The sequence below is a fragment of the Homo sapiens genome, chromosome 15 (genome assembly GCF_000001405.40).
Source record: "Homo sapiens chromosome 15, GRCh38.p14 Primary Assembly".
NCBI lineage: Eukaryota > Metazoa > Chordata > Mammalia > Primates > Hominidae > Homo > Homo sapiens.
The window spans coordinates 68,129,983-68,153,240 of NC_000015.10; the positions used below are offsets into that span (position 1 = coordinate 68,129,983).

At 38.7% G+C, this 23,258-nt stretch overlaps 1 protein-coding gene across 7 annotated transcripts in view; it reads left to right on the plus strand.

Annotated features, from left to right (window-relative positions):
* Positions 1–23,258, plus strand: part of PIAS1 (protein inhibitor of activated STAT 1) — a 139,533-nt gene that overhangs the window by 75,668 nt on the left and 40,607 nt on the right. For all 7 annotated transcript variants that reach the window (XM_017022688.2, XM_011522126.3, XM_017022689.2 and 4 more), the window contains 4 exons: positions 11,964–12,048; positions 12,308–12,355; positions 15,834–15,924; positions 16,584–16,718. In XM_017022688.2, coding sequence (XP_016878177.1) covers positions 11,964–12,048; positions 12,308–12,355; positions 15,834–15,924; positions 16,584–16,718 — 359 coding nt within the window. The remainder of the gene's footprint in view (positions 1–11,963; positions 12,049–12,307; positions 12,356–15,833; positions 15,925–16,583; positions 16,719–23,258) is intronic.

Below are 23,258 nucleotides of genomic sequence, written 5' to 3' on the forward strand. Positions count from 1 at the left end.
TGTTTTTTACAGTGAGTATTGCATATTTTCTATAATTGGAAATAAAAAAGATATGTTCATTTTGAGGGGGGGAAGCAATATTTCACCATACGAAACTAGAAAAAATAGTTTATTACGCATTGCATGCCTGTATCAAAATATTTCATATACCCCATAAATATATACACCTGTATACCCACAAAAATTAAAAATAAAGATTTTTTAAAAATAGGAAAAAAGGTGGAATTAATAAATAAACCTTAAAAGAAAAAGGCTTATGAAAGAGGCAAAATATATAAGCTTCTTGCAGATCTGATTAAACAAAATCAACCATAGAAAGTAGATTTAAATCACATAGAAGAAATATATGTATATAAATATTAGGAGCAATACATTTACACAGTTATATGTTAATAAATTTCAGAAACCTCTATGAAGTTTCCAGATATATTAAACATTCCAAATGTTTTTTTCTACATGTATATGCAGTGAAAATAATGTATAAAATGTGATATACTGATAACTTGACAATATTATCAAAGAACTACTTTTTAAAAAAAGAAAAACTCTGGGTTTGATACATTTGCTGGTAAATTCTTCAGAACTTTTTTTGAGGAATAAACAATTTCTGTATACTACAAAATGTTCTCAGTTATTAAAAAGTAAGCAGGCCAAAGAGGAATACAAAGAAACAAAGGTAACACTTAAAAAAAAAAAAAAAAAGCTATCATTCAGTTTCACTTTTTGAATATAGTTGTGTTCCTTAAAATATTAACTGGTAGAATTTATCAGAATATTGGAGGAATAATAAGATTTAAATTAGGCTAAGTCTACTGGACTAAAACCTTGATAGAGATATATATCCTCTATCCAGAAGTCATAAATAGTTCAGTATTAAGAAATATATTAATTCATCAGATGTAATAATAGCTAACATTTATTGACTGCTTACTTTGGGTTAGGTAGGCACTGTTATAAGCGGTTTTATATTTTTATTTAGTTATCAAAATAATTCTAAGGTTTCTCTAGGGTTATATTACCTAGATGAAGAAATTGAAGCATGGAAATGTCAGACAGTGTGCCCAAGGTCACACAATTACTGAATGACAGAACTGGGGTAAGCACGCGGACTTCTGACTCCAAGAATCCATTAGCTTATTTGGAGTTTAAATAGAAACTTTAAAAGGTTTCATAAAATTAAATGCCCATTAATAATTTTTTTAAAAAGAAGTAGAAAAAGTGTTCTTTAACATTATAGGGAATCTTTATAGTCAACAGACAGCTTTATATTTATTTATTGAAAAATTATAGATGTATATATTTATGGGGCACAGAGTGATGTTACGATCTTCGACTACCATGTGAAATGCTTAAATCAACTAATGTATCAAGCTGATATGTTAATCAATTTCCACAACTATTTTACATTTTTTAGGTGATGAGAACATTTGAAATTTACTCTTAGCAATTTTAAAATGTTACTAGCTATGTTCACTGTGTTGTGCAATAAGATCTTATTAAAAAAAAAACTTATTTCTCCTATCTTCTAACCATATCTGGTAACCACCATTCTACTCTTTGTTTCTATGAGTTTGATTGTTTTAGATTCCACATATAAGTGAGAGCATGCAGTATTTGTCTTTCTGTATTTGGCTAATTTCACTTAATAAGCATAGTATTGTCTAATTCCATTCATGTTTGTCACAAATGACAGAATCTCTCTCTGTTTTAAGGCTGAATGCTTTTCCATTATGTATACTTATTTAGGACCACATTTTCTTTATCCATTCATCTGTTGATGAACACTTAGGTTGATTCCGTACTTGGTATTTTGAATAGTGCTGCAATGAACATGGGAGTGTAGACATCTCTTTGACATACTGTTTTCGAATCTTTTGGGTAAATACCTAGAAGTGGGATTGCTGGGTATTTATTTATTAGTTTAAAAAAAAAATCCTAGGCTGGGCGTGGTGGCTCATACCTGTAATCCCAGCACTTTGGGAAGCCAAGGCAAGTGGATTGTCTGAGTTCAGGAGTTTGAGACCAGCCTGGGCAATGTGGCAAAACCTCCTCTAAAAAAAAAAAAAAAGAAAAGAAAAGAAAAAAAGAAAGAAGAACCCTAGAGGTAGTTACTAATAATGGAGGTGCATCAGAATTATTCCCAGTGGGGGCTAAACTCCCAGACATGTATGTTTTGAAGCAGCTTTGTGGGTGATTGTTAAAAACTACAGTGTTGGCCGGGCATGGTGGCTCACACCTGTAATCCCAGCACTTTGGGAGGCTGAGGCGGGCGGATCACGAGGTCAGGAGATTGAGATCATCCTTGCTAACACGGTGATACTCCGTCTCTACTAAAAATACAAAAAATCAGGGCGTGGTGGCCCTCACCTGTAGTCTCAGCTACTCGGGAGGCTGAGGCAGGAGAATCACTTGAACCTGGGAGGTGGAGGTTGCAGTGAGCCGAGATGGCACCACTGCACTCCAGCCTGGGTGACAGAGTGAGACTCTGTCTCTAAAAAAAAAAGGAAACTACAATGTTAAAGGTACATCAAATTTTACAGCAAAGAAGTCACCCTGGAAGATCTACAAATATTCTTGTAAAAGTTCTGGCCTATACAATAAGACATGAATTAGAACTAGAGGTATAAATGTTAGAAAGGAAAATTAAATTTTTCCTTACTTATGGTTAAGGGAAGGTTTATCTGCAAATCCTAAGGAATTGGCTATAAAACTAGGGTTAAGTTCAATTTGAGTGGCAAAATAGAGCTTAGAAGAACAAAAACCGAAATTATGTAATAACCACTTTGAATAACAACCAAAGTGAGAGTCCACGCAAAATATAAATATTAAAAAGTTAGAAATACTCATTTTTGCTCAGTTTTATCTTTTGAATTTGATTTAAACGTAAAAATTAACTAGAAAACTATTAAAATTCTTCCTATTTCTTATCCCATTCTCTGTCTCTCATAGGTAATCATTTTTAATTAATTTCAGTTTATCCTTCTGGTTTTCTTTTCTTTTCTTTTTTTTTTTCCGAAAAAAGCCAGTAGCTTTATGTATTATTACTTCCTCTCTTACACAGAAAGTAGTAGCATACTGTATTTTTTTAATATTGTCGTTGTCACTTTAATGATGTATCTTAGAGAGATCACTCCCATACCAACACATAGAAATCATCTTCATTCTTTCTTTGGTTTTAGGGTATTCTATGAATGTTTATTCAATCATTCTTCTATTGGTAGGTATTTTACTAAGAATGACATTAATGGGAACAGTGTAACTAATCTATGATAGAAATAAAACCTTGAAGATATGAATAAATGGACACAGGTGCAATAGTCCAAGACAGGAAGGTTAAAGATGTAAATATATCAGCTCTCAAAATAATTCATAGGTTTATTGTAATTCTATTCAAAATACTATTGAGCTTTAAAAATCATAACAAAAAGATTTGGAAATTCATCTAGATGAATTAAAAAAAATGGATAGAGAAAAACCTAACTATAAGATAATGAAACAGTGAAGCTATAACAAAAAATAGAGTACCAGCACCAGGATAAAAAAGATAATTGGGAACGTGGTCCAGAATGAAACATACAGGACATAAGGATTTAATATATGATAAAAGAAGCACACATATCCATAGGGAAGGGAAAGTTTATTTAACAAATGGTGTTAGTGTAACAGTAAGCAATTTGGAGTACTGAAATTTAGATTTTTATTTTTATTTTTTATTTTTTTTTTTGTTTTTTTAATTTAATTTTATTTTATTTTATTTATTTATTTTTTTTAATTGATCATTCTTGGGTGTTTCTCGCAGAGGGGGAGTTGGCAGGGTCATAGGACAATAGTGGAGGGAAGGTCAGCAGATAAACAAGTGAACAAAGGTCTCTGGTTTTCCTAGGCAGAGGACCCTGCAGCCTTCCGCAGTGTTTGTGTCCCTGGGTACTTGAGATTAGGGAGTGGTGATGATTCTTAACGAGCATGCTGCCTTCAAGTATCTGTTTAACAAAGCACATCTTGCACCGCCCTTAATCCATTTAACCCTGAGTGGACACAGCACATGTTTCAGAGAGCACAGGGTTGGGGGTAAGGTCACGGATCAACAGGATCCCAAGGCAGAAGAATTTTTCTTGGTACAGAACAGAATGAAAAGTCTCCCATGTCTACTTCTTTCTACACAGACACGGCAACCATCCGATTTCCCAATCTTTTCCCCACCTTTCCCCCCTTTCTATTCCACAAAACCGCCATTGTCATCATGGCCCGTTCTCAATGAGCTGTTGGGTACACCTCCCAGACGGGGTGGTGGCCGGGCAGAGGGGCTCCTCACATCCCAGTAGGGGCGGCCGGGCAGAGGCGCCCCTCATCTCCCAGACGAGGCGGCTGGCCGGGCGGGGGGCTGACCCCCCCACCTCCCTCCCAGACAGGGCGGCTGGCCGGGCAGAGGGGCTCCTCACCACCCAGTAGGAGCGGCTGGGCAGAGGCGCCCCTCACCTCCCGGACGGGGCGGCTGGCCGGGCGGGGGGCTGACCCCCCCCACTGCCCTCCCGGACGGGGCGGCTGGCCGGGCAGAGGGGATCCTCACTTCCCAGTAGGGGCGGCCGGGCAGAGGCGCCCCCCACCCCCCAGACGGGGCGGCTGGCCGGGCGGGGGGCTAACCCCCCCCACCTCCCTCCCGGACGGGGCGGCTGGCCGGGCGGGGGGATGACCCCCCCACCTCCCTCCCGGAAGGGGTGGCTGGCCGGGCGGGGGCTGACCCCCCCACCTCCCTCCCGGACGGGGCGGCTGGCCGGGCAGAGGGGCTCCTCACTTCCCAGTAGGGGCGGCTGGGCAGAGGCCCCCCTCACCTCCCGGATGGGGCGGCTGGCCGGGCGGGGGGCTGACCCCCCCACCGCCCTCCCGGACGGGGCGGCTGGCCGGGCAGAGGGGCTCCCCACCTCCCAGCAGGGGTGGCTGGGCAGAGGCGCCCCCCACCCCCCGGACGGGGCGGCCGGCCGGGGGGGCTAACCCCCCCCACCTCCCTCCCGGACGGGGCGGCTGGCCGGGCAGAGGGGCTCCTCACTTCCCAGTAGGGGCGGCCGGGCAGAGGCGCCCCTCACCTCCCGGACGGGGTGGCTGGCCGGGCGGGGGGCTGACCCCCCCACCTCCCTCCCGGACGGGGCGGCTGGCCTGGCGGGGGCTGACCCCCCCACCTCCCTCCCGGACGGGGTGGCTGGCCGGGCGGGGGGCTGACCCCCCCACCTCCCTCCCGGAAGGGGTGGCTGGCCGGGCGGGGGCTGACCCCCCCACCTCCCTCCCGGACGGGGCGGCTGGCCGGGCAGAGAGGCTCCTCACTTCCCAGTAGGGGCGGCTGGGCAGAGGCCCCCCTCACCTCCCGGATGGGGCGGCTGGCCGGGCGGGGGGCTGACCCCCACACCGCCCTCCCAGACGGGGCGGCTGGCCGGGCAGAGGGGCTCCCCACCTCCCAGCAGGGGTGGCTGGGCAGAGGCGCCCCCCACCCCCCGGACGGGGCGGCTGGCCGGGGGGGGCTAACCCCCCCCACCTCCCTCCCGGACGGGGCGGCTGGCCGGGCAGAGGGGCTCCTCACTTCCCAGTAGGGGTGAACGGGCAGAGGCGCCCCTCACCTCCCGGACGGGGTGGCTGGCCGGGCGGGGGGCTGACCCCCCCACCTCCCTCCCGGACGGGGTGGCTGGCCTGGCGGGGGCTGACCCCCACCTCCCTCCCGGACGGGGTGGCTGCCGGGCGGAGACGCTCCTCACTTCCCAGACAGGGTGGCTGCCGGGCGTAGGGGCTCCTCACTTCTCAGACGGGGCGGCTGCCGGGCGGAGGGGCTCCTCACTTCTCAGACGGGGCAGTTGCCAGGCGGAGGGTCTCCTCACTTCTCAGATGGGGCGGCCGGGCAGAGATGCTCCTCACCTCCCAGACGGGGTCGCGGCCGGATGCTCTCACATCCCAGACGGGGCCGCGGGGCAGAGGCGCTCCCCACATCTCAGGCGATGGGCGGCCGGGCAGAGACGCTCCTTACTTCCTAGATGGGATGGTGGCCGGGAAGAGGTGCTCCTCACTTCCTAGATGGGATGGCGGCCGGGCAGAGACGCTCCTCACTTCCCAGACGGGATGGCGGCCGGGAAGAGGCACTCCTCACTTTCCAGACTGGGCAGCCAGGCAGAGGGGCTCCTCACGTCCCAGACGATGGGTGGCCAGGCAGAGATGCTCCTCACTTCCCAGAAGGGGTGGCGGCCGGGCAGAGGCTGCAATCTCGGCACTTTGGGAGGCCAAGGCAGGCGGCTGGGAGGTGGAGGTTGTAGCGAGCCGAGGTCACGCCACTGCACTCCAGCCTGGGCACCATTGAGCACTGAGTGAACCAGACTCCGTCTGCAATCCCGGCGCCTCGGGAGGCCGAGGCTGGCGGATCACTCGCGGTTAGGAGCTGGAGACCAGCCCGGCCAACACAGCGAAACCCCGTCTCCACCAAAAAAGTAAGAAAACCAGTCAGGCGTGGTGGCGCGCTACAGGCACTCGGCAGGCTGAGGCAGGAGAATCAGGCAGGGAGGTTGCAGTGAGCCGAGATGGCAGCAGTACAGTCCAGCTTCGGCTCGGCATCAGAGGGAGACCGTGGAAAGAGCTGAAATTTAGATTTTTAAAATATGAACTAAAATTCCAGATATATTAAATAATTACATAGAAACAATAAGCCAAAAAATTAATTGTGTATTTATTGAATTTATGCAAAGGAACAGCTAAGTTCAGAATTAGCAGAAGAATTTAAAAGGAGATTGTTGACAGATTGGACCACATAAAAATCTTTTATATCATCTAAAAATATAGCCCAAATGAAATTTAAAAAATTGTAGCAGACTGGAGGAAATATTTGTAGCAAATTTCCAGGGTTTTAATATTCTTGTATATGAAACCCTTATGCAAATACATAAATAGGCATAGGACAAGGCTGGACAATTAGTTAAATAGGAAATTCAGCAAATAACAAAACATGGAAATATTTTAGATGTGAATTAAACTTCTCAAGAGTTACCAGGATCCATTCATTAAATTAGCAGCAACTCCCATGCTGGCCAGAGTGTAATCACTAGATGCATAAATTGCTGATGGTCTTATATGTAAAACAACCATTTGAAAAGCACTCTTGCGATGTGTCAGGATTCATAAAAATCTTCATACTTTTTGACCCTGAAATCTCACACCTGGGAATTGATCCAAATAAAATAATAACCTGCCCCCCTTCCAAAAAACAAACCTTTAAGCCCAAAGATATCCACAGAGTTATTTCAAATAGTGAAAAATTAGAAATAACCTAAATGACTAATCAGGGGAGTAATTAAAATGTTCATATGTCCCCTGAGAGAATACAGTAATTAAAAATGGTAATAGAGACTGCAATTGAAAATGTAATAAGGGTAATTTTTTTAAAGCAAGCTTTCATATTGTATCTATAGTTTGATATGAGAATGACTGGAAGGAAATAGATAAAAGTCATAAGCAGTTACAATAAGAGGATAATAGGTAATTCTTTTCCGATTTTCTGTGATCCAGTGTAATGCAAGGCTGCACTGGTAGGAGTACAGCACCGAGATCAAGAGAGCTAATAAACCTATGTTATGAGAGGAACACGGACTTTGGAGGCAGGAGATGTACAGATTGAGTTCCAGTTCTGAGTTTTCTACTTACAAATTTGAAGGCTTGACAAGTTAGTAATTACTCTGAACCTCAATTTCTTCATCTGAAAAATGGTCTGATAACATTGTCTTCATGATTATTGTATGGATTAACTACTAGAAAGTAGTTAATGAAAGTAGTGTTCTACTGACATCACATCTGGAAGAATATATCAATCAACTTAGAAGCAACCTTAGATCTCAATGGCTAACAACTATTAGAAACAACTAAAGAAGATTTGGGCATGTAATCCCAGGACTTTGGGAGGCCAAGGTGGGAGGATTCTTGAGGCCAGGCATTCCAGTTCAGCCTGGGCAACACAGCAATACCTCATCTCTACAAAATAAAAAATAAAAAAAATTAGTCGGGCATGGTGGCACCCACTATTGTAGTGCCAGCTACTGTAGAGACTGAGGCAGGAGGATTGCTTGAGCACAGGAGTTTGAGGCTGCAGTGAGCTATGATCATGCCACTGCACTCTAGCGTGGGAACAGGGCAAGACCCTGTCTCTAAAAAAGAAAGAAAAAATAACCAAAGAAATAAAGCTTCTTTCCCACTTATGTTATTTAACTAGCTGTAGACTGTGACTCTGCTATATGTTTTGTTTGCTCTGGGATCAAGGCAGAGGGGAAACAAAGACAGTAAAGCCTTAGGTGCCTCTTGAACTGCTTGAAAGTGGTACACTACCACTCCTATTTCATTGACCAAGGGTAATGTCCATGGCCCTGAACATTATCCTCCCATTGGGATAGGCCAATACAGAAGGGCAACACATATTTTGAACAAATGATATGTGCTGTGACAGTGCTGTCCAGTTCTGTCACTTTATTTATTTATTTATGAATGAATGAATGAGACGGAGTTTCACTCTTGTTGCCCAGGCTGGAGTGCAGTGCGGCGATCTCGGCTCACTGCAACCTCTGCCTCCCAGGTTCAAACTATTCTCCTGCCTCAGCCTCCCAGGTAGCTGGGATTACAGGCGCATGCCACCACACCTGGCTAATGTTTGTATTTTTGGTAGAGACAGGGTTTCACCATGTTGGCCTGGCTGGTCTTGAACTCCTGACCTCAGATGATCTGCCCGCCTCAGTCTCCCAAAGTGCTGGGATTACAGGCGTGAGCCACCATGCCCAGCCAGTTCTGTCACTTTAATAAGGGTGTAACAACCTGGGGTACGTCTGGAGGAGGAAGATTTGGACAGTGAGTAATTCTGAAATCTTTACTAAAATACAGTGGGAAGAGTCATTGGAAAGGGAGGGGCATATTAAGTCTCTTCAAATATTTGAAGAATGGCTGTCACTGGATGGTGAGATTAGTTCAGTGCTGTGTGGCATCAGTGGGTGGAAGTTACGGCCTCATATATTTTGACTCAGTATAGTGGTAAGGAGAAAAGTGAGAAGAAAAGGAAATTATTGGTTGTTTTCAATATGTTACTCATTTACATTCTTCAAAATAATCCTAACAGAGCGTGTATGTTTCTGTGTTTAAATATTGGAAGAAAGACTCAGAGTGAATGAATACCCAAGGTCACATGGCACGTAAGTGGCAAAACCGGTTTGGAATCCAGGTCTGTGTAATCTTGTCCCTTTCTACAATATTCTACTACTCTCTGTTGGGCTGCAAGCATTTTTACAATTAAACTGTTCATCACCAGTCATCATCTGCCTGACAAAGTAAAGGCCACATCTCACACATGTCTAAAAGGGTTCAAACAGAGAATGAATGGAAAGGTTGAAAGGAAGGTTGAACTCTAGATCAATGATCTGCAAACTTATTTGATCATAAGTACCTCTTAGCAAAGTACTTGTACATACTATATATGTAGCTTATACATAAACTATTGTACTCATATGTTGTAAAGCATATAGGACATTCCCAGTACAAAGAAATGGTAAACATTTGGGATGATGTGTGTGCTAATTCCCTTGATCTGATCGCTATATACTGTATGTGTCAAAACATCACCGTGAACCCCATTAATATGTATAATTATTATTTGTCAGTTAATTTTTTTAACCTATAGGAAAAATAAGAGTTTAAAAAGATTAAGATTTTATATAACATTTTAGTTTTTTTATAAATTAGATTTCAGGTTTTATGTAAAATCTCATCTTTATAAAACTTTGTTTTGCAGATAGATACTTTTTTCTGTATCCCTGTGGATTGTCTTTTGTACCCATGGAAATGTATACCCCCAACATTGGAGGTCATTGTTTTGGATGATTTTGTAAGACTCATTTCAGTATGAAGATTCTGTAATTCTTTTTGTCCAGAATTTTTTTGAAAGGGCTAATGGTAGCTTACTTCACTTTCAGAAAGGTTTTTAAATAGTTTTATCTAAAACCAAAACTATAGACTTCACTGTCATTTGTAACAGCAATTAAGCCCAAAAACTACAAAGTGTGAAAGGTGCTATTCTAGATAAACAGTAGCAACCCCATGAGCATTACAATGTATATATAAATGGAGATGGAAGTGTAGGGGCTATTATTAAGTAAGAAACCTGATTTTTATTTGTGACATAAGAAATAGCCTTGTTATTTTAGTTATATCTTCTCTTTCTAAACCTATATATATCCAAAACTTACTGTAGTCATATATTCTAAAATGCATCTGAAATTTTGCCTAGAGAGTAATATGAATTTTTGGACTTGAGAAATTATTTTAGCACTTTTTAAAAATAGAGCCAACGATTTAAATTAGGCTAAGTCTACTGGACTAAAATCTTGATAGAGATACATCCTCTAAGAAGCAAAGAAGTTAGTTACTTGCATTGCCTGACAGAGGGAAATGTTAGCTGGTTTTCTACATTCTGGGCCTTAGTTATTGGCATTGCCAGGTTGATGTTTCACAATTAAGACAACTTTTTCTGTTAGTGACTGCTCCTTGGTGATAGATTCTTTAAGAAAAAGCCATCCTAGAACACATAAAGCAGAAAGCAAACCTAGCCTTTTAAAGATACTGTTAATGTTGAGATAGAATTCTAGATCAACAAGTGCTCTTTTCTATTTCTTTCTCTTAATGATACGTTTGGTATCGACTTTTTGCGTGACATATTGCAGTTTGGTTGGAAGTTGTAAAGGAAGTGTTTCTTGCAAGTATGATCAAACTCAGTTTAAGCAAGAGATTGAAACAGCCAACTTCAGCTGCTTATTCAGCACAGGCCTTAAGTGCCCCAGAAGCCGATAGTTTCTTAATAATAACTCTTAGTGATCATTTTCTTCTAGAAAATTACCCTGGAAAAGTAGTATAAATAGTTTAATCTGCTATTTCTTAAAATTTTGTATTCCTTTACTCATTCAACAAATAAATAGTATTCAGTGCTTCTTTGTGCCAAGCACTGAGGGCTCATTAGTGAGCAAAAGGGATATTAACCACTGTTTTAAAAAAAAAATGTATCTAACATGTACTAAAAGCCAATGGATGTGGTGATGCATGCCTATAGTCCTACCTACTTAGAAGGGTGAGGCAGGAGGATCACTTTGAGCCCAGGGGTTTGAGTTTGTGCTATAATGGTGCCACTGTACTCCAGCCTGGGCAACAGAGCAAGACCCTGTCTCTTAAAAAAGCAAACAAAAAGCCTTTAATGGAACTATTGTTGCTCATAACGGCATACTTTAGAACCCCTGGTCTAGTCTGACTGTGCTTACCTACCTGCTTGCATGCGTTTCTCTTTCTTCCCACCTCTCTTCCCCTCCCTTCCTTCCTTTCTTAATTCTCTTCTGTTTTTTACAACTCTTTTCCTTCTTTGAGTTAGTGACAATAAGCAAATTTTGAACTCATCTAAGATTAGGAGAAAAACTGTATGTGATATTTATTGTATAAAACTTGCATGGTAGAGTTAAACAGGAGATGATAAAATTCTTAATTTACTTTATAAACCAAATGTCATCTCACCTGTCTAGCTCTCAAGGTGGGTATGTTTGTTACTTCTTCCAGAAACCATGTCTCTTTAAATGGGTTTATATCATTCTATTTTAAATAAAATTCGTATGTTTTTATACAAGTGTGCTCTTTAGATGCAAACATTTATATGATTAGATAAATTTTCCTTAGTCTTTCTTTGATTATGTATTGTCTGAATTTGAATCCTGATGTGTTATTCTGGAATTAGCCATTTTTGTTTCTATTTCTGTTTGTTATGTTACAATTAGTGTATTTCTTATTTTTCAGTGCTTTAATTGCCTTGTTATCTAAACTCTAGAATATATACCAGTTAATTAAAGACATGTGTGTTTTTTTTTTTTGCTTTTGTCTTTACTGGCGAATTTAAAGGTAATTGAAAGTATAATTCTTGTCTTCTTTAGCATCAGACAACAGTCAGCGCTTTCGAGAAACCTGTTTTGCATTTGCCTTGACACCACAACAAGTGCAGCAAATCAGTAGTTCCATGTAAGTTGTCGTCAAGTGTAACTTGAAGTTTGACCTTTGAATCCAGTAGTCTATAATAAATGATTTTAAAAAACAGTGATTGGTGAGTTAGTATTTGTGTGATGCAAATATTAGTAATGAAAGTATAGTGTGTTAGTTACTGTAAGAACAGTTATATTTATGATAATTTGAAAAACTTTTCTGGAGTAACAAGGTCTTTGAATGAACTTTCATGCAAATACTTTAAAAGTAATTGTAATTCCTATTCTGTCTCTTCTAGGGATATTTCTGGGACCAAATGTGACTTCACAGTACAGGTCCAGTTAAGGTACAGTGCTGACTATAGGATATATTCAAAGTTTAAAAGATAATATTCCTTTTCACAGTACGGGTCCAGTTAAGGTACAGTGCTGACTGTAGGATATATTCAAAGTTTAAAAGATAATATTCCTTATCAGGAAGGGGAAATGGAAAAAAAATTTTAAGGAATAAGAGGAAATCTACCTGATTTTTCAATAAGTGTATTGAAAATATTAGGTTTAGATATTTGGGTGAGGGAAAACATTCTCCTGTTATGAGATATTCTAATTTTCATCCAATTTAGATTTTTCCCCTGCCCGCCCACCCCCCAGTTTAGATTTCAATATAGCAAGTCATGTTCTATATATCTAACCATATTTGATTGCCCTCAGTTGGTTGAGAAGCTCCAGCTAATGATATCTTACAATATCATATCAAGTTTTATGAAAGCATGGGCCTTATCTCCATAAGAGGCAAAGTACTGTGGATAAGGAATTAGTACTTAAGTCTACAGTATGTCATGGACTAACAAACATCAAAATATTCTAATTTGTTTTGTTCTGTATTTTAAATAATTTAAATATGCTCTAATTTAGGATCCATTTGAGACATCTCTTAAAAATGTTCAAAGACTAATGGGAAATTTTCCAACATGGATTCACAACCCCTTATTGAGTTTCTTTTCTTAGCCCATTCATTTGTCTTAGAATATCTAAGAAATATTTTGTATTATTTCTCTCCCTTATATATCTCCCTTTTATATACATATATATATATATCTCCCTTATATAAACCATCATATTATGCTTTATTATTCGATTTACCAACTTAAATGTCCACACTGTTGGAATAGGGATGGAAGAGAAAATATAAGACAGTTGTTTTCCTCAGTAAGCTGTTTTCCCTATAATTGTCAGGAGGATAAATCAAACAGTTAGCCTTGTCTCAATAATCAGATACTAAGTTGTATGTACAAGTTACAAATACACTAGGAGGCTAAAAAAGGGATTAATCTAAAACGCCTGTTCAGCACTTCATGGAACCATGTGAAAACCTCTCATCTAAGCTTTGAAATAATAAGGTAAAAACAGTGAGAAAGCAGAGTTGAAGTCGAAAGTTGAGTTGAAGATTCTAAAGAGGATATGACTATACTTAATAACTTTTATACCATAAAACAGTATGACAGGACCTTACTGCAGTAGACTAGTGATAATCTAAGTTTCAGTTTTGGAAGGCACTGCTAAAGATGATTCTGTATAAAAGGTATATTTTATGTCGGCCAGATTGTGATAATGACTGAAGAAATTAAAGGACAAAAATAAGATGTCTCCATAGTTAATTATGTATTGCTGTAGTCTTCTTTACTTCCTGCCTCAACAGTTTACATTTTGCTTGTGCTGATACTTGACATTATCCTTTAAATCAGTGGTTTTCAAACTTGTTGCATGGAGCCACCCTTAGGGGTTCATACTCTTCTGCCATCCTCCTCTTCTCTCCTAAACACATACACAGTCTGAACCAAAGTGGGGCTTCTTTTATCTCTTTTATCTGTTTTGCATGTTTGACTCTGGGTTAATTTTTGCTTAAAGACAGGGTCCCAAGACTAAAATAAAGTTTAAAAACCGTAGCTTTAGAATAAAAGATCTAGTTACTAAGTATTTTGTATTAATATACATACATTCTTTAAAGCAGCAACAGGTGTGGTCCACATTTTGAAGTAAGGTTGTCTAGATAGATGAGCTATAATTCAGAGATTCCAAGGGTATCTTGATGACTGCTATTTTAATTGAAATGTATCTCCAGGACTTGGAAAAAAAAAAAAAAAAAGAACCATGTTGTGTTATATTTGGTAATTGTTAGGTGGTTCTTTGTGTTTTAATAAAACAGTTCATCTCTCTCCCTGCCCCACGTTGCTAGGTCTGCAACCATAGTGTATTATTTAAGTTAGGAGTGTATGCCTATCTGCTATCCTAATTAGAAATGTTTATCTAAAGCATAAAAATAATTAGTTGAGAATTAGGATCCAAGTTTTCTTTATTAGACACCTAGTCTGTTTTCATTTATGTTGTGCCTCCCTGCTCCACTCCCTCCTCTCTGCCCCATGAACCACTTCACAGAAACTTTCTGCTATTCCTTTTTTTCTTTTTTCTCTTCAGTTCATTAGGGTGATTTAGATTAGTTGAATAGACACTGTCTTGTCATTTAAATTACTCTTTTCCTATAGGAAAGGGTTCAGGCAGCCAGGGTCCATGTTTTAAATTGATCACTGCATTGGAATAATTATTTAAAAACTGTGACATCCTTTTAACTATTGCAGCCTAAAGAATTAGCCTGTAATGGAAGGTTCTGCTGGGGTTAGGAGTGGTCCTGTGAGCTTTGACATCTGTTTGCTAAGTATATTTCTAGAAAATCTTTGTAGATCAGTAAATCTTAACTTTTTTATGGATCCCTGATCCCTTTGAGAATTTGATAGAAGCTGTGAATGGTTTCCCTATAAAACTGAACATGTATATGTACTCAAAATAATTTACATATAAAATTGTTTTATATTGTGCACGATCCCCGTACTCAGATTTCATGGCCAGCAGGTTAAGACCCCATACCGCAGGTGTTGAGAGGAGTTGTTGGCACATGAGGAATATTTCACAGATTTCGGAGATAGGGTTCTCCCTACTATGTAACTCAGGGGTGCTATTAGCATTCTATAACAGTGCAATGAGCCTTAGGTGTATATTGAGAATAGGTACTAATAAAGAATAAATGCCTTAAATAGCAAAATAGTAATAAGAGTGAATAGACTGAGAATTTATGAATTATGTATCTTTCCTTGATTTTTCCAAAAGACTGCATTTAATTTAGAAATATTTTTATAAGTTTCTAAAATAGTATTCTAAATTTATGTGGCTATAACACAAATAATATTCAATATCTTCAGTTCTCAAAAAATAAGGAGTACTTTGGCTTACTGATCCTGGGGATGGACTTAAAAGCATTCTCAGTATTTTCTGCTAAGAACCAGAAAAGTGTTTCATAGGCAAATAAATTTGGAAAATACTGCATACAGGTGGTAGGTCTTCCTCTTAGAGATTTATAATGCTTATTAGCCTATTAAAAGCTCTGAAAAGTTCTGTATTAAGGAAGCTTAATTTAATTGTTTTGATTCAGAATTTCTTAATTTTATTTGACTAACGAGTCTTTTTTTCTTTTAACATCTGTTAATCACTGAAGAAACTAGTGCTTCTCAGAACATGCTTAACCAAATAATTGGCAGTATCACGAAGACAACTACAGGGTGATAGTCATGATTACCACAACTCTACATTGACAGAATTATTTATTTTAAACCTATTTACATATACTTATTAATAGGGTGAAAAGTCCAGTTTTTATAGTTTTCCCTTTTGGTTGTTTTTAAATTTACCATCTTTTAAATTTATCTATTTAACAATAATACTAATGAAGTCATCCTTTAATAAAGGAAATTAAACTTGTCCTTTATTGTTTAGGTTTTGTTTATCAGAAACCAGTTGTCCACAAGAAGATCACTTCCCACCCAATCTTTGTGTGAAAGTGAATACAAAACCTTGCAGCCTTCCAGTAAGTCCTAAGAGCTGTTTTTTAAAATTCATTGCCAACATAACTATCAAATAAGTCATCACAACTGTTGTTAAATCATAGTTTTTCCTTAAGAAAACATTTTTATTTTGGATATATATTCATTGACTGGGTGAAACACTTGTACCAACTATGTACAGTTAGCAGCAGTGACATTAGCTTTGGGGACATAGGATTTGGAGTTGGGTATGGTAGCTTTAGTGTTGTACTGGATTTTGGGGCGAAGTTTTTTCAACAAAATCTCAGCTGTGTTCATGTGAGTCTATAAGCCTATGGTAGAATGGAGATTTGAAGAATGCTATGTCTTAAACAGGAGGTAAGGGTGAGGACTGTTTTTGGTGCCCTTGAAATACTACTACTCATGTACCTATCTAAGCTTGTTATGAATTCATCCTGATTTTTAAATTTAAGAGATTTTGAATTTTCATCACTAATAGTTTTCTCAGGTTTACTATAAGGAGAGTATAAGGTTGTTTGGAAAAATAATAACACAAGAAACTTGTAAATGTTTGCTTCTCTACTTTTTAATGAAAACATTCATATTTTCTAGTATGCAGTTTGTAGGGGGTTTTTTCTTAAGGAATGGAAGTCAAAATGATTGTGGAAATAATAAGTATAAATAAATTACATTTCATTTTTAGGGTTACCTTCCACCTACAAAAAATGGCGTGGAACCAAAGCGACCCAGCCGACCAATTAATATCACCTCACTTGTCCGACTGTCCACAACAGTACCAAACACGATTGTTGTTTCTTGGACTGCAGAAATTGGAAGAGTAAGTAAATTTTTGTTTCTACCAGATTTTTGTATTATAAGGAGGGGTTAATCACCATGCCTATCTGAATTTATATGTAAATTATGTAAAATGAGCTGCAAAAGGATTTATTTTTGTCTCACAATGAATTTTCAACATGTTTCCATTTGAAAAATGGGATTATGAAGTATCCAGTGTTTTATAACCTGGCCCTTTTACTCCACAATTGATCATAAATGTCCTCCTGTATCATCACATGTTCTTCTGCATTATTTTAAGTGATGATATCATATTCCAATATGAGTATGCCATAAATTTGCCTGTTCCCTACTATTGAGCGTGTTACTTGATTTATTGATTGATTCATTGGTATGTCAAAGAACATTTTGAAGACCATCTTAGTAGCTATAACTTTGCATGCATATGATAATTTCCTTAGGGTAAATTCTCAGAAGTGGGATTGCTGAGTCAAAGAGCCTACAGAATTTTAAGAAATTTTGTGTACATTGACAGATTACCTTCTCCAAAGGTGTTGTACAAATTTATTCTCTGACTTTCAGTGTTATTTGCGTGCTCGTTAACACTATTATCTTCTTTGAAATTTTTACCAATTCTGTTAGGTAAATAATGCCACCACTGTGTTTTAATTAGTACTTTTTTCATTATTACTGAGATTGAATATGTTTTATATTTGTGATTACATTTTAAAACTGTATCCGTGTCTGTTTCTCTATTGCTGTTTTTGTTATTGATTATGAGATCTTCATATAGTAAAACTTAACTCTGTTTCATGTTACAAATATTTGTTTCCAGTTTGTTGGCCTTTTATTTTTATGTTATTTAATATGCAGAATATTATTAATATTATTTATATTGGCTACACAAAGTTTTCGTATAGCCAAAACTTAACCAGTTATTTCCTTTATATAGTCTTTTCTCGTCTCCATCATGCTTTGCCTATCTGCCCTTCCCAAGCTATGGAATTATTTGTTTATTTTCTTCTAGACTTCCAAGGTTTCATATTTTACCTTTAAATATTTAGTTCATATTAAATATATGTGTGATGTGAGGTAAAAATTGCTTTCTTTCACTTTTTAAATAGCTGGTTCTAACACTGTTAACTAAATAAATGTTGATTCTGAAGCCACCATTGTTATATATTTAACTTTTACATATCCTGAGTGTGTTTCTGATCTTTTTCTATGTTGTTTCTTAGTCTAACATTCTTTTTTGGGACAATTTTCATGATATGAACTCATATGTATCCACCAGTTCATTTGAAATTTATTGAATGCTTACCATGTGTCATCTACTATACTCAAAACTGGCAGTACCATAGGGAGGGAAAAAAGTTCATTTTCATGAGGCCTGTGATGTAGGGGCCTGGTGGACACATACAAAGAATGTGAACTTACTTATAAGTACTATAAAAGAGAAGCACATGGTGATTTTACAGTGTATCAAAGGGCACTTTGAACGAGAGAGAGCAGTCAGGGAGGGCTTCCCTGAGGAAGCAGTGACTGAGCCAAGAGCTGAGAAAAGAGTTGCAATCAGGTGAAAGGTTCAGAGGAAACTACCCACACAACAGCCCAGTGGTAGGAGTGAGCCTGGTTTTTACAAGAAGCTGAGAGGGATTCACTGACTAGAGTGCAGAGAATGGGGAAGAGTGGTATATGAGATGTGGCTAGAGGGGTAAGATAGGACTAAACCATTCAGGGCATTGTAGGTAATGTTAAAGTTAAGGATTTTCTTTTTCTTTTTCTTTTTTTGAGACAGAGTCTCACTCTTGGCCAGGCTGGAGTACAGTGGCACAATCTCGGCTCATTGTAACCTCCATCCCCTGGGTTCAAGCGATTCTCCTGCCACAGCCTCCCGAGTAGCTGGGATTACAGGCACCTGCCACTGCACCTGGCTAATTTTTGTATTTTTAGTAGAGATGGGGTTTCACCATCTTGGCCAGGCTGGTCTTGAACTCCTGACCTTGTGATCCACCTGCCGTGGCCTCCCCAAGTGTGGGATTACAGGCATGAGCCACTGTGCCTGGCCAGGATTTTCTCTTTTTAAGCAGAAAGTTTATAGTGCTGTATTTCTTTTTAGAAAAGATCACTCCTTGGAGTGGTAAATAGTTTAAATGGAGGCCAGAATCGTGCAGAAGGACATCTCTTAGGAGCCAGCTCTTGTGGAAGTATTAGTGAAATGGTATCTTTGTCTAGAGTGGTGGCGATAGAAATGGAGGTAAGTAGGGGCATCTGCAGGATTGAGTGATGAATTGAAAGTCGAGGGCTAAGAGAAAGGGAGATGTGACTGATGAGTCCTTGGTTTCTGGGTGGGGGGCTAGGCAAATGATATTGCTGCTGAGATAGAGGAAACACTGGAAAAGGACTGAGTGTGGGTGTGTTTTGTTTTGTTTTTGTTTTGTTTTGTTTTACTTTGAAGAATGGGCATTGGAGGACAAGATGGAGAAAATTATGAATTTACTTTTGAAACTTTTGAGTTTGAAATGCCTGTGAGACATCCTGAATAGGCAGTGGGGCAGATAGGCTTAAAGGATACATTTGGGCTAGAGGGAAAAAATGTGTGAGTCATCTGCATATTGGTGGTTATTGGAACCACACTGGCAGGGCTGACATTGATTCTCCTGCATTACTTTTTTTTTTTTTTTTTTTAAACATTCTTTCTTCCAGATAAAGTAGAATTACTTTATCATATTTCTTTTCCTCGCTCCTGTACCCCATTTGCACATCTTTCTGAGAATTTGGATGAGATTTCTTTAAAGTTATAGATTAAGTTAGGGAGAATTTATTTACAATATTTAATATAACCATTCTAGGAACTGTATTTTCAAATCTTCTTTTATGTTCCTCAGCAATTTAATGGGTTTCCTACAATTCCTGCATATTTTTTGCTAATTCCCATGTTGGTTGTTATTATTACTGCTATTATAAAAAGAGATCTTTTTTTCTGTTATATTTTCAAAGTATTTATTGTTGGTTTACTTAAAAACTAGTTATTTTTAATATTTATTTCATAGCTAAATTCATATATTGGTTCTATTAGCTTTTTAGATGATTTATTGGTATTTCTATGTTGACAGTTTTGAGTTTTAGGTATGTCATATAAATTATATTACCCTAATACTTTTGTCATTTATTTCTTGTTCTACTACCTAGAACTTTGTAAACAGCGTTAAACAATGCAGGCACTAGTGGACATATTTGACTTGCTCCTTATGTTAATGAGAATACTGCTACTGTTATAACATTATTATAATGTTGCTATTAATTTTGATAGAATATTATATCAATGATGTATTTCTATATTTCTCTTACTGGATTTTTTTTTAGAAATGGATTTTGAATTATATCAAAATTCTTTTTGACATCTCTCAGGGTTATATTTTTTTCCTTTAACTCATATGTCACCATTAGGTTTTTAAAATCCTTTTAAATATTTTATTTCTAGTGTACCTTGGAGTTCCCTTTTTCCTCCTTTTTGGGGAAAGTTTTGAAAATGTTTTGTTTTTGTGTATGAAAAGAATAGCTCACCAAGGAAGAAGGGGAGTGTTTTTGGTGAAATAGGAAAGAAGTCTGAAACTGTAGGAGAGGAGGGGAATATGGCCGCTGATAAAAAGCACTAGAGGAGGGGGGAAATACTCTTCCATAGGAAGGCTTCCAGCTACAAAGATTTGAAGACATTTTTCTGGGGAAGTAAAACACTAAATCAGCATTATTTTCCAAAGCCCAGAAAATAACTTAATAGATTGTTTTTAAATTACTGTTTTAATTCAGCTTGTGAAGATATTCTGAATAGTTCATGTAGAATATCTTACTATTTTGCAGATACTTTTGTATAAATAGTTGCCAGTGAGAAATGTTGCAACTGTGTCTTTTCAAATGAAGTAAATAGGAGAGCTAGTATAGCGCCTGAAAGAAGTAAGTGAGTTATATTGTAACTTCTTGCTCTACCTCAGGGTAAGCACTCCTTTTAGCATTTATTAAACTCTCATTATTTGTAGAGAAATTATTTAGATGTAGGTTGAGTATTCCTAATCTGAAAATCTGAAACACAAGATGCTCTAAAATTCAAAACAGGATGCTCAAAGGAGATACTTGTTTGAGCATTTCAGACTTCAGATTTTCAGATTAGGGATGCTGAACTGGTAAGTATAATGCAGATATTCCAAAATCTGGAAGAAAAAAAAAATTCAGAGTCCAAAATACTTATAGTCCCAAGCATTTCGGATCAGGGATACTCAACTTGTACTAGTGTAAGGGGCACATAATGAATAGAGTATATTTCAATTACAGAGAAATTATCTCATGAACTTGACAAATAATTTTTAAGACTTTTGAAAAAGCAATAAACAAAACTATCAGTATAATATAATATAATATAGTATAATATATATCAGTAGTTGGAATTAGTATTTGAAGGATTAGCAGGAACAATAAAATACTGTCTACCTAGAAAAGAATCTCTGTCACTATTAAGCTTTGGTGGGGTTTTTTTTGCTGCTGAACCTCTTTCATATGATGTAAAAATTTCATTTTATATTACCAGTACAAGTGGCATTTGTTAGTACCACATTCTTTTTGCTGCTTTTATTTTATTTTTCTATTTGCTTACATGTTTCAACTAGAGTGAGCATACCTTTTCACTGAACTTGTTGCAGTTTCTGCTTGATCTCTTCTTAAATATTTATATAAAGCCTTAGGGTAATTCCAAGTTCTGAAGATTCAAGTTGTCAATACATAGTTTCACATTGTTAATTAGCATTTCTCCAGTTTCTGTCATACTTGAAGCATTAAGCAAGTAAATAATAATGGTGAATAAGATTTTTTTCTAAAAGAAGCTTTCCAGTTGGGCCTGGTGACTCATGCCTGTAATCCAAGCACTTTGGGAGGCTGAGGCAGGCGGATCACTTGAGGTCAGGAGTTCAAGACCAGCCTAGCCAACATGGTGAAACCCCATCTCTACTAAAAACAAAAAAAACAAAAAAACAAAACACACACACACACACACACACACAAATTAGCTAGATATGGTGGTGCACACTTGTAGTCCCAGTTACTTGGGATGCTGAGGCAGGAGAATCACTTGAACCCGGGAGGTGGAGGTTGCAGGGAGCCGAGATTGCGCCACTGCACTCCGGCCTGGGTGACAGAGCGAGACTCTGTCTCAAATTAAATAAATAAATAAACAAATAAAGCTTGTCAATGCTATATCAGATTAGTATGTTGTATGCTCTAAAATTTAGGAATTTTTTTTTTTTTTTTTTTTTGGGGGGGGAGACAGAGTCTTGCTCTGTCACCCAGGCTGGAGTGCAGTGGCGCCATCTTGGCTCACTGCAAGCTCTGCCTCCCAGGCTCACGCCATTCTCCTGCCCCAGGCTCCCAAGTAGCTGGGACTACAGGCACGTGCTACCACACCCGGCTAGTTTTTTGTATTTTTAGTAGAGACGGGGTTTTACCACGTTAGCCAGGATGGTCCCGATCTCCTGACCTCGTGACCTACCCACCTCAGCCTCCCAAAGTGCTGGGATTACAGTCATGAGCCCCTGCTCCCGGCTGGGAAAGTTTTAATGTTACTTGTTCCTCATTAATGTGAAATTTATTAATGAAGGTAAATTCGCTTTTTTGACACTTCTTTTTCCTCCCTCTCAGAAAATGTGTAGCATGTAAACACAGATAGCTTTCCGAACTTTAAATAAAAATATGACCTTCCAGAGAGTATTGTAGTATATTTTCTGTCAAAAGAGGGGAGTGCATTAAGTTCCATGTCTTAATATTCCCACCCTTTCCCTTTGGTTTCTAGTGTCTGCTCTGTCATCAAGCAGTTGCCTAATCATGAGCAGATTGCATAATCTTTTTGTGCCTCAGTTTCATCAGCCCTTCACTTAGAAAAATACCTATCCTACCTGTGTCTTAATAGGCCTTGTGCAAAGTTTAAATGAAGTAGGCAGCGTATGTTAAGAATGCTTTGAAAAATGTGTGTAGCTATAAAATACAAGATGGCAGCAATTATTTTTCCTTTTACTTCTTTTCAAGTCTCTTGATCTTCCTCTTGATCCCAGCACCAAATAGAAACTGATCCTTCTCATTTAGATCTCCTTCCTACCCTTCGTGAACCTCAGCCGTCTTTTCTTTCTCTTACCCAACCATGTACCCTTCACTTAGTCTTAGCTTGTTGATTAACTGTTTTTTTTTGGTTTTGGCTTTTCTTTTTTTTTTTTTTTTTGGTCCCCTTCTACCTCTGTCATCTCTGGGTAGTCTGTCTGCTGGTAATGGATATTCATCTGTTCATTTGCCAAACCAGCAGCTTCTGTTTGAAAACCTTCTTTAATATTCCCTCTGCTTGTTGTGATAATGGCCCAAGTATAATCTTTTCAAGAGCTACTTGAAGGCATAGAGAAAGGTTAAAAGGTATAAATTAGGAAGCCCATCTCATTTGTCATTTAAAAAAAATAGATACTATTTTAGATATATCTGTTACCTACTAAATATGGTTTATAGCTTTGACATCTTATTGTCTTTGGCTTATACTTAGTCTTAACAGTATTCT